We start from the raw sequence: 15,046 nt of genomic DNA on the forward strand, positions 1-15,046 counted from the left end.
TCAGGTCTTAGTTTCTCTGTAGAGAAACTAGAAGAATTGGAACTGGTGTTTCATGTGCCAACTTACTCCCCTAACTGCTTAATTACAAAAACTCGACAGGTCGATTTGTTATAGGAGATCGATTAATATCCGGTTCATAATAAGTGATAGATATTTAGGAAACCTTTCCCTTCCAGCAGTGGAGTGGATTTCCAGCTCTCTTGTAATAAGATCCTTTTTTTTTTTTTTTTGACACTTCCTTAACCCCTTCTTTATCTCCTCCCACTGTCCCCTCACTCGCCGGGCCCCAGCCACAGTGGTCCTCTGCAGTCCCACACCAAGCTCACTCCCTCCTCGGGGCCTTTGCACATACTCTCCCCTCTGCCTGGAGTGCTGTGTCTTCTCCAGAAACACGTGTTGTTGGTTTTTCCTCCTCATTCAGGTGCAGCCCTATTGTTCAGGAGAGATGTGCCCTGGGACCAGCGAGCTAAAGACCCCTCGGTGGGGATTGTTCTTCTCTTGCTTTCCTGTTTATTTTCACAGCTTCGTTACTGACCAGTTGAGATCACTAATTTATTTGTTGATGCGTTGATTTTGTCTTCCTGTATTAGAACATAAGCCCTGTGAGAGCAGGAGCCATGGTCATGACTCCCAAGGCCCAGCCTTGTGTCTGTCACATAGCAGGTGCTCAATAAATATTAGTTGATTGAATGAAAAATAGCACACTTTTGTTGGAAGTTTTGGGAGGTTTTTAATTTTCCTGTGGCACCCAACTGCTCCAATGATTAATGGGCAAAACAGATGACTGGTTTGGAAAGAGAAATATTATTAATCATCTTGGTGTCTCCATCTCTCTTAGTAGTCATTGTATTGGCTTTGCTTCCTTAGGAATTTTATCAGGATGGAAATGGGCGTGAGAATGTGGGGATTTATAACCTCTCCAAAGGAGTCAACCGATTCTGCCTGTCCAAGCCTGGTAAGTTTGGAAGGATTGATGTGCCATGAATTAGAAAAATGGAAAGGCACCAGAGGATGGTTTTGAAGGCATTTTTTTCTACCTTAGTTCTGTTTGCATCAAGCTTTCAATTTCTGTGTGTTCAACCTGCTCTTGTTTTTCTGTCTGTCTTGGGTTTGAGTTGGGTAGACACCACTGGGCCCTTTCACCTCCAAAAATATACCATTGGCCAATGGCCTCTCTTTATAGAGCTGTTTTAAAATTTGAATCATTTCCCACTTTGCTTAAAATCTTTCAGTGGCTTCTCGCTCTTTCTCATTTTTTTTTCTCTTTTTTTTTTTTGAGATGGAGTCTTGCTCTGTCACCCAGGCTGGAGTGTAGTGGCTTGATCTTGGCTCACTGCAGCCTCCGCCTCCTGGGTTCAAGCGATTCCCCTGCCTCAGCCTCTCGAGTAGCTGGGATTACAGGTGCCCACCACCACATCCGGCTAATTTTTGTATTTTTAGTAGGGATGGGTTTCACCACATTGTCCAGGCTGGTCTCAAACTCCTGACCTAAAGTGATCCGCCCGCCTCAGCCTCCCAAAGTGCTGGGATTACAGGTGTGAGCTGCTGCACCCAACCTTCTCTCTCTTTTATAATGGCTTTTTTTGGAGGCAGAATTTGCATATCATAAAACTCACCTATTTAAGATGTACAATAAAATGATTTGTAGTAAATTTATCAAGTTGCACAACCATGGCCAGAATCCAGTTTTAGATTTGTTCATCACCCACAATGTAAGATCCTCTGTGCCCGTTGACAGTTAATCCCTGTTTCTAGCCATGGCCAGCCACTGATCTATTTTCTGTCCCCATGGATTGGCTTTTTTTGGACGTTTATCATACGATGCTGGTATTTTGTTTGGCTTCTTTTATTTAACATGTTTTTGAAGTTTATCTGTGTCATGGCACATATCAGTAGTTTGTTCTGTTACATTGCTGTGTAGTATTCTGGTGTGTGGTTATATCATATTTTGTGTATCCATTTATCAGTTGGTGGATATTTGAGTGGTTTCCAGTTTGACGCTGTTATGACTAATGTTACGGACATTCTTGTACAAGTCTTTGTGTCCGTATGTTTTCATTTTTCTTGTTTCGATACCTGGGAATGGAATTGCTGCATTGTGTGATAAGTTTATGTTTAACCTTTTAAGAAACTGTCAAATTGTTTTCCACAGAGGCTGTGTCGTTTGATATTCCCACCAGCAATGCACGAGGGTTCCGGTTTCTTCACCTCCTTCGCCAACATTTGTTATTGTCTGTTTTATTATAGTCATCTTGGTAGATGTGAAGTCGTGTCTCATGGTGGTTTTGTTTTGCATTTTCCTAATGAATAATTCAGTGGCTCCTCTGTTTGGTTCCCAAGATAAAATACAAACTCCTTAACCTGATCTTAGCTCCTGTGTAACCCAGCCCTGTCTGCCACTGTCTCTACTCCAGCCACTCTGTCCTTCTGGGTGTCAGTTCAGCTGCCTTTGGCTACATGTAACAAAATCCATACAGCAGTGCCATTGGCAAGTGGTAGTTTATTTGGCTCAATAAAGAAGTGTGGCAGTGCGTGGCTGCCAGCATGGGTTCAGCAGCTGGTAGATGTTAGGGGTGGTGTCTTTGTGATTCTTTAGGCCTTTCCCTTCTATTTTTTGCCTTGTATTTTCAAGATGGCTGTTGTTAGAAAACTTATGTTTAAAGGAGAAAGTCAAGGAGAGGGCAGGCAAACATTTCCTTGCGCCCTCTCCTCCAGTAAGCTACTTGTCTGTATTATTGGCCAGAACCGTGCCACATGGTTACTTCTAGCTGCAAGGGAGGCTGGGACAGTTGGATGTGCTACCCGAGGCTGAGCACGTTGCCACCCTCAACATAACCAGGGTTTGTTCTCAAGGCAGGAAGGATGCCTGTTGAGGAAACAATGAGCCAGCCTGTGAGGCAGATGCTGTTCTCTGTGGACATGTCCTCCTGCCCCTCCTAGCTGGGGCCTTCTTACCCATCAGTTCAGTATTGCTTCCCTGGGGAAGGATGGCCTCCAGGGCCACTTAGGCCTGCCTCCTACACTCTTGCTATCAGCACTCACTTCTATCCCCTTCTTGCATGTGCCACAATTGATATGTTTGTGGCTGTCAAATGCTCCCCCTCTCTGTGGATGGTAAACTCCATGAAGACAGGGACCACTGCTCTGTCATTCCCCACTGTGTACCAGTACCTAGCATAATACCTGGCCAGGAAGAGGTGCTCTGTCGATATTTGTTGAATGAAAGACCAAACAAAACAAACAGAGAAACCTGATTTTTTTTTTTTTTTTGATGGTAACTACTCTGGGGCTTGTTGAGTGCAATGAAAACAGCAGGGTGGTTTTAGCTAATTTCAGGTTTTTGTAGGAAGTGTGGCCAAAATATTGGTTAATGATGATTTGGGGGAAATACATTGTTATTCCTTGTATCTTCCTGAAATTGACTGTGTTCCTCTGGCAAGTGATGAAATGTACCCCTAGCCGGAGTGTCCTCCCACACAGACTCACACTTTTCTGGGGCTTCCCTTACTCCTTACCTCCTTTTTAGGAATATTTATAGGAAGAAATTGAGGCTGTGGTTATCTCTTGGATCCTTAATAGAATCTTTTAAGTAGGAAATTATCCTCAGTCCAATTTGCAGTAGAAACGTACTTTCTGTTCCTTCTCGTGCATGGGTCCGTTCACCTGGTCTGTGCAGATTTAACTACTGTGAGTTGTTACCTTATGGAAAATGAAAATCATGCGCCTGTGATCGCGCCATTGCATGGATCGGGTTATTGGTAAGACGCCTTCATAGGCAGTGAAAACGATGCCTGCCCAGTATTTCTGATCCCATTATTGCAGATCTGCGATACGTTTGAGTTTTCACATGCAAAGAGCTGCCACTCGATTTCAGATGTCGGAATTGCTCGGTGTAATAGATGCCATTCTCTGAAAATTACTTTTGATTTCCTGTCTGTAGGTGTGTACAAAGTGACCCCTCGCTCCTGCCACCGGTTTGAGCAAGCGTTCTACACCTATGACACGTAAGCCTGGGAATTGAATGCTTTGTGGTGTTTGTATACATTCCGTGGAGGATTCTTCATTTACTTCAGAGAACAAAAGGAGTTTTTCTGTTTTTTTTTCTGAAAGAGGCAAGGTTAGGCCTTCAACAGCATTTCTAGATAAGGATTTTAAGACACTTGGATTAGTTACTGAGGAACCGGAGACAGGATCCCTTTCCCAAGAATTCTGTAACCCCAGGATAGAGGGCTGTGTTTTTGAAGTGCCTTAAATAGAAGCTTTGTCAAATCTCCCAGCCCTCACCGATGGGCGTCTGTCAAGTTCAAGTCTGCCATTTTTGTATTTTTACAGAAGTGTGTGGGTTTCACTGGGAATTGGAAGCATAAAGTTGTGGAGTGGAGAATTAGTTTACTCTTTAAAATACTTCTCTGGATCTCCAGAGTTATTTTACCCCAGACTAAGAGCAATTTTCTGTAGTATATTTAGGGTGAAGAAGGATGCCCAAAAAGGGTATTGCTGATGATCTTCTGAGAATGAGTAGGTTCTAGCGTTTCCTCTGCTTTGATTTGTAGGTCTTCACCTAGTATCTTGACATTGACAGCCATTCGCCACCATGTCCTTGGAACTATCACCACCGACAAAATGATGGATGTCACTGTGACTATCAAGTAAGATGAGCGTTCTGCAGTGGGCCGAGAGTGGCGGGAGAGGGTGTGGATGAGGCCTGGGGAGTCTCTAATAGGCTCTCTGGAAATTAGTTTTGATTTCTTATCTCTAGATGTATATACAAATGGCCTTCCCTCTCTTATAGGACATTGCCGTCAATTCCCAGCAGCCTTGATCCTTTCCTTTTCTGATTCAGAAATTACCTGTGGGTGAGGAAGAGCGTTGCGACAGCTTGTTTCAGTGTCTTCAATTTCTGTTTGAACTCTTTGTACTTCTCATCTTTGCTAAGGAAAAAAAAAATCTCTGGGGTTTGTGCATTGTATTTCAAGTGTTTTAGCAAATTCAAATTGCCTATTTTTCTTTAGACTTTTGCTTGAAGGCTTGGGAAATAGAGATGGCACCTGGTATAAGAGAAGGGTCGTGAGAGAGGAAGTATTTGAAAGGCAAGTCCCTCACCGAAGGTCACGTTCATGTGAATGTCACCTTTCAGGGAATTTTTGCAGTGTGGTGAGGTACCTGTGACGCCCCAATTTTCTTGAGAAATGAACGAGTTTTGGCAACATGACCGTCTCTGTCAAGTAGAATGGGCATTGCAGTCCCTGTCTCCCTCCTGCCCCTGGTTGAAGTCACCTTTCCAGCTATGTTTCCATCTTTCTGTCCACCATCTGTTTATCCATCCGTCATCCCTGCAGAGTACATGATGACTGAAAAACTGAGAGTCTTCAGTGTTTAGGCACTGGGCTTATGAGGCCACAGCCCCTACACTTATGGGATTGACAGTCTCATGGGGGGAACAGTGGTCAGATACTCACATGCAGAACCGTAAATGACAACTGTTCTGAGTGCTTTGAGCTTGACCTTGGGGGCATGCAGGACAGGTAGGCTGCGGGGGGCCAGGCCATGTTAAGGTCCATAGTCTTTGTCCCATGATGCAATTGACATGTTTTACATAGAGGAATGACATTTTTCTTCCTGAAAGGTCCCCCTATTGGCCGAGTGGAGAACAGACAGAAGAGGCCTGAGAGTGGGAGGTGGTGGAGGCAGGGGGAGGCAATGGGGGCCCCAGACTAGTGGCTGCGGAGATGGAGAGCGACGGACTGGTCGGAGAGTCGTTGAGGGACTGAGTTGATGAGACATGGCACTAAAGTGACCACTGGGTTAGGGCGGGAGAAATGTCAGGGCTGGCCCTGGTTTCTGGTGATGGGGAGCCAGGTTTTTAGCTGGGGGTGGATTTGCCGAAGGTCTGTTGCTGTCTTTTACTATCATTTACTGTCTCCCTGCTTGGAAAGTATGAATTACTGATAGGACTAGCAATCTACCTTCTTACCAGTAGTAACTGCATATTACCTCCTTTCAGCTTGATTACATTCATTTTTGTAACTTCACAAGGGTGTTTGTGTTGCTTGCTTGTGCCGGAGGTTGTATGGAATGCATCTTCCAGCTAGACAGAGCCACTCGGATTCCCCCTGGGGATCTTGTACTCAGCAGACCCAAAACCCGACTGCTGACAGTTGCCCTCCATGAGCCCCTCTGTGGTCTTTTCTGATTCAGATATGGCAGCTCCCGCTTTCTCCTTGTTTCTTGATTCTTATTTCCCTTGAACCCTAGGCCCAGCCAATTCCCCAACAAAGCCTTGGCTTTACAATCAAAATACACCCGTCATCTAGTCCCTTTTTACCACTTGGCCCTCAGCCTTGGTCTGACCCCCCTCTGGGGTCACTGTAGCAGCTTCCCAGCTGGGCTTCGCTTCTTACCACGTGGCCCTCAGCCCTGGTCTGACCCCCCTCTGGGGTCACTGCAGCAGCTTCCCAGCTGGCCTTCCTGTTTCCGCCATTGCTTTGTGTATTTTCCATGAAGGAGCGAACGATTTCTTTTATCATACCATTCCTCGACTGAAAACTCCAGTGGCTCCAGGTCGGCACCAAGCCTGTGAAGCCTCAGTCTGACATCTGCTGCCCCTTGGACCTCTCTGTTGGATATGACTCTTCCGTGGGCCCCTGTGCCCCAGGCTGGACTGGTGTTGCCATTGCTTGAACATCTGAGTGAGCTTTCTCTCCAAGGACTTTGCACTTGGCATCGCTTTTCCCAAGCTACTGTTTACCCAGAGAGCTGCGTGGCGCATTCTCTCCCTTCCTTCAGACCTTTGCTCAACGTCACCTTATCAGAAAGGCCTTGACTGTCCCTTTAATGTAAAACAGTGCTCCGGGCTCTCCGTCTTCCCACACTGCTTTATTTTTCTTTATTGCACTTTTCCTCTGGTATTATTTTTCTCTTTATTTTCAGCCCCTTCCCATTGAAACGTGGATTCCACAGGGGTAGGAAGTGTGGTCTGTTTTGTTGATGCTGTATCCTTGGTGCCTAGTTCTCTATCAGAGCAGTTCTCAGCGAAGGTAGAATGGAGAACAGAGGATGGTGGTGTGGAGAAAACTCCATGTCCTACATGGAAGCTACAAGCTTATATCCAGTCGCCATAAAATCAACCGTATTTCATTCCAGCCCAGATCTACCAGATACTGCCACCATCACTGCGAAGCTCAGTTGTTATTTTTTGTGAAACTACTAGTTTATTTAAAACAGAAGACTCCGCCACTGTGGTGTCATGATAAGATGTCCAGTTTGTAACTCGCAAGTCCATACTCGTAGAAAGGTCAAATTCCCACTGACCACAAGGATACGCAACTATGTCCTAGGGGCCGTCTTTCTTCTAGGTCTTCCATCGACAGTGAACCCGCCTTGGTCTTAGGCCCTCTGAAGTCTGTGCAGGAGCTGCGGAGGGAGCAGCAGCTGGCTGAGATCGAGGCCCGCAGGCAGGAGAGGGAGAAAAACGGCAATGAGGAAGGCGAAGAAAGAATGACCAAGCCTCCCGTGCAGGAGATGGTAGATGAGTTACAAGGCCCCTTCTCGTATGATTTCTCTTACTGGGCGCGGTAAGCTCTCTTGTGCGTTTCCCTACAGTGTCCTCTGTTTTGTGGGGACAGGACCCGCCAAACTGAAGTATATTAATTATTTTAGGTCTGGAGAGAAAATCACTGTTACACCGTCATCTAAAGAGCTGCTCTTTTATCCCCCTTCAATGGAAGCCGTTGTCAGTGGAGGTAAATGTCAACTCAGCGAGCGAATGTCACACACACCTTTGCAGTTGTTCCCTTGCCTGCATTTACAAGTAGATTTGTGATGTTATAGTGAAGCCATCTTTGTAAGCCACCTTACATCCTCTCTGGCACACAGATGTTACTGTTGGTTGGATGGATGGATGGATGGATGGATGGTTGGGTTGGATGGATGGATGGATGGATGGATGGATGGATGGATGGATGAATGAATGAATGATTTAGATAAATAAAAGTAACTTTTGCTGTTAGAATTGAGTTGATCTTTTTGGAAAAGGACTTGGTTTTCTTTGACATTATCAGGTCGACACCAGAAGGTAGATGAAGCACAAAGCTGCCAGTGATGATCTTTAATGATCTTTCTGTTGTTCGGCAGAGCATGATGGGAGGGTCTTTTTTTGGGGAATGGATGACTGAAGTGATCACTTGTGGAGTATTTGTCTTTTGCCACTTATTATTTTTTTCCCAGCACTCTGGCTTCGTTAAGTTGTGGGTGTTATGTGGTTCGTGTTTGGAAGCAGAGGGTGTTGAAGAGCGTGACTTCTAGCAGGCAGGCTGTTTGGGGCGGTCTTTCTCAGTGGGTCCTCCAGAGGCTGAGCAGCACGGCCTCCTGTCTGCTGTAAAGTGTTCCCTCCTGATCTGTGGCCTCCTGAGAACCTAGGAAGACTAGTAGTAAAAACCCAGCCTTCAGCGTTTTTTGATTCTCTTGCTAAAGTCCTTCACACTGAGAAAGGCCTTTCAGGGATGGAAAGAGGCTTGGGCTGTATCCGATTATTGAGCTCCCCGGGGTGTTAAATAACCGCATTTGGAACTAGCTTCTAAGATCTGTTTTAGCCACTTTTGTCATGGGAAACCCCCAACCAAGAAGCTCCTGTCTCTGCTACCAAGCCCCATCCTTGTGTTTATTTCTTCCCCTCTTAGAAAGCTGCCCAGGGAAGCTGATCGAGATCCATGGGAAGGCAGGCCTGTTTTTAGAAGGCCAGATCCACCCCGAGTTGGAAGGAGTCGAGATTGTCATCAGTGAAAAGGGGGCAAGTTCACCGCTGATCACAGTCTTTACTGATGACAAAGGTGCCTACAGGTGAGCCCGGGATAGAGACACATGTGCCTGGGATCAGCGTGGGAGTCCTCTGAAGAAACTGGGGCCCACATTTCCTTGGGCTTGGTAAGGCTTCCTGCAGGGTGTGAACAAAGCCGTTGCTAGCATTCTGCTCTCTCCTCTTCAGTGTTGGCCCCCTGCACAGTGACCTGGAGTACACGGTGACCTCACAGAAGGAGGGCTATGTTCTGACTGCGGTGGAAGGAACCATCGGAGACTTCAAGGCCTATGCCCTGGCAGGCGTAAGCTTTGAGGTAACTAACACTGTATTTTCAAAAGGCAGTTATACTGAGGTATAATTAACATATAATAAACTGCACAAAAAGGGTACAGTGTGGTAGTCTTGACCTAGGAATACACCCATGAAAACACCTCCACAATTAAAATAGCACATCTGTGGCCCTCAAGGTTTCCTCTTGCCCCTTGGTAATCCCTCCCTGCCACCCTTCCGCTGAGCTGATGATCTGCTTTTCATCACCATTGGTTAGTTTGCATTTTCGAGTTTTTATAGGTTGGTGCAAAAGTGATTGTGGTTTTTGCCATTGAGAATAATGGCAGAAACCGCAATCACTTTTGCACCAACCTGTATATAAATGGAATCAAACGGGATATACTGTTGTTTTTTTTTTTTTTTTGGTCTGACTTCTTTCACGTAGCATAATTTGGAGAGCTGTTGACTTTAGCATGTTTGTGTACCTTCTGGGAAGTAGTTAAAGCTGTCATCCATAACTGTTCCATTTTGAAGGACACAGAATGTTCTTACTGAGGCGTTTGCTGCCTAGCTCCCTTCCACCGGTCCTTTCTGGGAAGAAGCGTGCTGCGATTGTACAGAGTGGGTCTGGAGATCGTTGAGAATGAATATTTATAAACTATAGGCCAAAGGAAAAGAGTGACAGATTACATCGCATAAAAATTTAAAATTCTATATTGCTGAATACATTTGGAACCAAACTGAAAGATATTCAAACTCGGAAGAAATGTTTGTATCATAAATAATATCCCCATTTTACAAGGAGCTCCTAAGATTGGTAAGAAAAAGACAACCCGCTAGAAAAAAAATGAACAAAGATTATGAAAAGGAAATTCATGCAAGTAACGCAGGTGACTAATAAACACAGAAACACAAAGCCTCTGTAGTTACTGAGGAAATGTGCTAAGGAAGTTACAGTCGAAACACTGTTTTGCAGGGATTAGATTTGCTGTAATTAAGACAATCTCTATTTTTTGGTAAGTGTGGGTTTTCCCAAGCATAAATAATTTATGGGACTGTAAGTGGTTACAGCCACTTTGGAATGCAATTAGATAGTATCTTTCTGAATTTAAAGTGCATGTATCCAACAATTCTACTTCTAGGAATGGATTGTTCAGGAAATAAAAATTAAGTGCCTAGAGATACATATTTGGGGATATTCCAATTGTCTCTTGTGTACCACAAGAGTAGGTGCTGTGGTTTGTCAAACCCTGCCTTAGAATGCTATGCAGTAGTTAAGAAACAGGCAGATTTCTATTGGCTGGCAGAAGAGAACCAGGATAAATTGTTGAGGAAGAGAGCAAGAACTGTACATATAACATGCCATTTTTATTTCACCTCCTCCACCCACTCAATGAACTTGCCAGTCTGTGAACAATAATATGTAATGTTTATAAAATTTGTGTGGGCATAGAAAGAGTTCTGGGCGGGGCACGGTGGCTCATGCCTCTAATCCCAGCACTTTGGGAGGCCCAGGCATGTGGATTGCTTGAGCCCAGTAGTTTGAGATCAGCCTGGGCAACGTGGCAAGACCCGTCTCTATAAAAAATACAGAAATGTAGTTGGGCATGGTGGTGTGCGCCTATAGTCCCATCTCCTCAGGAGGTTAAAGCTGAAGGATTGCTTGAGCTTGGGAGGCGAAGGTTGTAGTGAGCCCAGGTTGTGCCACTGCACTCCAGCCTGGGTGACAGAGCAAGACCCTGTCTCAAAAAAAAAAAAAAAAAAAAAAAAAAAAGTTCTAGAAGGCTACACACCAAACTTACAAAACTTACAACAGTAGTTACCTGTGGGGAGGAAGATTAGGTCCCCTGTCCTCCTTTGAGTAACAATAAAAGAAAAAAACCTTGAAAAAATGACCTCTTGACTTGTGGAACTGTTATTTTCATAGTTAGTAGGAGTTTAACCTTGCTCTGGTCTCACCTTCTCATCCCCAGATAAAAGCTGAGGATGACCAGCCCCTCCCGGGAGTCCTCTTATCCCTGAGCGGTGGCCTGTTTCGTTCCAACCTCTTGACCCAGGACAACGGCATTCTGACATTCTCAAACCTGGTAACGTGTTCTGCAATTTACCACCTGCCTGTCTTCCCTGAGAGAGAGCCAGGATGCAGCATGCGAGACTTACGTGTTGCTTGACAACGTGAGAAGAGAAAGCCAATGTGGAGTGGTTTCAGTTTCTTGGGGGCCCACGGTCATTAGAGTATTGCTCTTACTCGAACTTAATGCTGCTGATTCATGTTCCCTTCCACACGCGCTTCTTGTTTTCTGATCACCCACTTGTCACTAAGACAGTGTAATTAATTTCCCTGGCCACAACGGCTGCTCTCTTAGGCATCTTCTCGTTTTGCCACGGAATCATGCTTATGATGCTGAGTCTTGTTTGGTGGTTAGCTTGCGTTTCTTCTGAAAAGACATTCCACTTGGTGGGAAGAGAGCAGCAGTTTTTCTTTCAAGATGCAGTCGGAGGCCCTGACTGGTGGGGATTCAGGAAGTGTGTGTTAGTTGGTCATCTTGTCAGTCATGGTGACAAAGTGGCTGTGGTGGGGCTACTGGAGACCGGGCAGCGGGGGCATCTGAAGACACCACTTTGCAGTGATGCAGACTGCTCCTTACTTGCTGTGTCCTATCAGGCAAGTTACTTTGCCTCTCTGAGCCTCAGTTTCTTTATTCATTAAATTCAAATATGAGCCAGGTATGGTGGCCCACGCCTGTAATCCCACCGCTTTGGGAGGGTGAGGCAGTAGGATCGCTTGAGCTTGGGAGTTTGAGACCAGCAACATAGGAAGACCCCATCTCTACAAAAAATAAAAAAATTAGCTGGGCATGGTGGTGCATGCCTGTGGTCCCAGGTACTCAGGAGGCCGAGGTGGGAGATTTGCTTGAGCCCAGAAGGTTGAGACTACGGTGTGCTGTGATCGTGCACTCCATCCTGGGGGACAGAGTCAGGCCCTGTCTCAGAAAAAAAAAAAAAAAAAAGAAAAGAAAAATTAAATATGACTTCTACCTCTCTGAGTCATTGCAGGCAGGTGATACCATCAGCTGCCGTTGTTAGAGTTGTGATTGCCACTACCTGACTGTGAGTGGTGATTATAGAGAGAGGGTTACTATTTCTGGCTGCCAGGGAAGCCATGGCGCTCCCCTGGTGTAATTCTGGTCCATCGTGACATTCGCCCCTCACTTTTAAGCCATGCCTAGATGTGGCTGCTGAGGCTCAGTGTGATTATCTTGGTAGAGCCCTGGCCAGTATTACTTCAAACCCATGATGAAGGAGTTCCGGTTTGAGCCATCCTCACAGATGATCGAGGTGCAGGAAGGCCAGAACCTGAAGATCACCATCACGGGGTACCGAACCGCTTACAGGTAAGTGCCCTGGCCACCCCACTCTCTTCCAGGGCTGGGCTGGTGAATCACATTCAGGCCTCTGTTGCCTGGAAACGCATCCCAGGCTTCACACTGATTTTACTTGGGAGGGAAGGGAGATGAGATATGAGGGCAAAGGAGTTTTGACTGCTGCCCTTCTCTCCTAGGAGCTCAACCTGGTGGTTCAGTCTCAAATTTCCTATTTTGGAATTGGCTTGAGAGAGCCTATTGAGTTGCTAAAAGCTTTTATTTATTTTTTATTTTTTGAGACGGGGTTTCATTCTTCTTGCCCAGGCTGGAGTACAATGGCGCAGCCTTGGCTCACTGCAACCTCTGCCTCCTGGGTTCCAGCAATTCTCTTGTCCTGGCCTCCCAAGTAGCTGGGACTGCCACCATGCATGGCTAATTTTTCTATTTTTAGTAGAGACAAGATTTCACTTTGTTGGCCAGGTTGGTCTCGGACTCCTGATCTCAGATGATCTGCCTGCCTCGGTCTCCCAAAGTGTTGGGATTACAGGCGTGAGCCACCGCGCCTGGCCACTTTTATTTTTTAAAAGAGTTTCAAACCTGAATTAAATTATTAAAAGGAGAAAATGTGCTCAGTTGAATAAAACTTCAAAATGCTGAAAAGAGTATAGTGTAAAATTTCCCCTCTGTCTCGTCTCCTAGCCACCCAAGTTCCTCTTCTGGGAGACAACCAGTACTTCCAGTTTTTCTGAATGCTCCCAGCTGTAGATAGATAGATACACATGAGTGTCTGGCAAGGCACAGTGGCTCACACCTATAATCCCAGCACTTTTGGAGGCTGAAGTGGGAAGTTCTCTTGAGTCTGGAAGTTCAAGACCAGCCTAGGCAACATAGCAAGACCCCGTCTCTACAAAAAAATAAAAATACAAAATAAAAAAGATACACATCTATAGATAGAGAGATGCATACATATATACATGTATACACACAGATACACACATATATGTGTATTTTTTGTAGACTTATACAGAATCACTTTAGAGGAAGAGTAATTGGAAAGATTGGGTTTAGAAAAATGGACCATTTTCTACTGAATATATGGAGTGAAAGAGGAAGTGAGTTATTTCCATGTTATTGAAAGCTCCATTATTTCAAATAAAGCCTAGAAAGAATAAAATAAAGCTTTAGCCTTCTTAAATTACAATTTTCCAGAGCATCCCTCAAAATGTATGAGAAAAGAAATTGATGGCAGCTTATCCCTCCGGCAGGAAGGTGTGGTTTGGAAGTGGGCCGGCCACACTGAGTTGCCTGGGTCATTGAGGCACAGTTATCCCCTGAACTATTTTGCCCCATAATTGTTGGTAAACGGGAAACACTTGGGTCCTTCAGATAACCATGAGAATATCTCATTCGTGCCTGTTCTTGCCATACTAGTTGCTATGGCACAGTGTCTTCCTTAAACGGAGAGCCCGAACAAGGGGTTGCCATGGAAGCGGTGGGCCAGAACGACTGCAGCATTTACGGAGAAGACACCGTGACAGACGAAGAGGGCAAGTTCAGATTACGTGGATTGCTGGTGAGACTTGGAATGGGTTTTCTTTGGGGACTTTTTTTTCATCCTGTGTCCAGAAGTATCTTGTGGTGGCCCCAAGACTGCTAGGAGTGGGTTGGGCGAGAGGGCTGGGGGTGGGGCTCTGGAGCCCTCCCAGTTCTTACCTTTAATTGGTAGAGTTTGCCTTTTTTCTAGCCAACAGGTCAGATCAAGGATCTGTGGCACAATGGAGTTGGAAAACCATGGGTTTGGTAGGGCTTTTCCCTAGCAGTGTGTGGCCATGGCTTACGCCAGGGCTCAAGCCAAACGCCTATGGAGCCAGAAGAGCAGTATGAACGGGGGAGAGGAGGCTGTGCGAAATGATAGGGAGTGGTGAGGGCTGTGGAGTGGGCACGGCCTGTGGAAAGGGACAGCCTGTCACTTGGTTCCAGCTTATTGTAGCCATGGGGGAAGACAGAGTCAGGGTTGCCAGATCCTTGAAATTTTAAAAAGAGAAGTCAGAAATTCCCACTTCCCAGAAATAATACCCAACACAAGCATTTGGGAATGCTTATGGTGGACATTCCAGATATCCATCAATGTGTATATACGGGTAGAGGGGAGGGGTGGATGGAGAGGAAAAACATCTTAGAAGAGTAAGAGCACATAGTATGCTTGGAATTTTGAAATAAGAAACCAAATTTGATTTATTTTGGGGTAGGAGAAAATGAAACTGAGTTGGGATGGAAGGAGTCGCAAAATTTCAGATGTTTCAACACTAGGGGTGTTCTTAAAGGAACTCTGGACTCTTAAGGTTAACAGGCCACAGATTAGGAAATGAGGGGAGAGAAATGCTCCTGTCTTAATGATCTCGTGCAGCCAAACCAGGCTTGGACCAGGCACGATACGACAAGCCCCCTTTCTAGAGAGCTGACTCCTGAGTTTTTTTGCAGCCGGGATGTGTGTACCACGTTCAGCTCAAGGCAGAAGGCAACGACCACATTGAGCGGGCGCTCCCCCACCATAGGGTGATTGAGGTAAGGCATTCAGTGCTGCCGCTGCACCTGGGTGTGGGTGCCTCCCTGA

The 15,046-nt window shown here is 45.6% G+C and overlaps 1 protein-coding gene across 1 annotated transcript in view; it reads left to right on the top strand.

Moving 5' to 3' along the window:
- NOMO1 (NODAL modulator 1) overlaps nt 1-15,046 on the top strand; it is a 62,437-nt gene that overhangs the window by 33,960 nt on the left and 13,431 nt on the right. Inside the window, exons 16-26 of the mRNA NM_014287.4 lie at nt 868-955; nt 3,941-4,004; nt 4,554-4,649; nt 7,356-7,574; nt 7,660-7,742; nt 8,679-8,838; nt 8,984-9,110; nt 11,041-11,154; nt 12,335-12,462; nt 13,864-14,005; nt 14,914-14,997. Of these exons, the coding sequence (NP_055102.3) occupies nt 868-955; nt 3,941-4,004; nt 4,554-4,649; nt 7,356-7,574; nt 7,660-7,742; nt 8,679-8,838; nt 8,984-9,110; nt 11,041-11,154; nt 12,335-12,462; nt 13,864-14,005; nt 14,914-14,997 (1,305 nt within the window). The remainder of the gene's footprint in view (nt 1-867; nt 956-3,940; nt 4,005-4,553; nt 4,650-7,355; nt 7,575-7,659; nt 7,743-8,678; nt 8,839-8,983; nt 9,111-11,040; nt 11,155-12,334; nt 12,463-13,863; nt 14,006-14,913; nt 14,998-15,046) is intronic.

This window comes from Homo sapiens, chromosome 16 (assembly GCF_000001405.40).
Source record: "Homo sapiens chromosome 16, GRCh38.p14 Primary Assembly".
Taxonomy (NCBI): domain Eukaryota; kingdom Metazoa; phylum Chordata; class Mammalia; order Primates; family Hominidae; genus Homo; species Homo sapiens.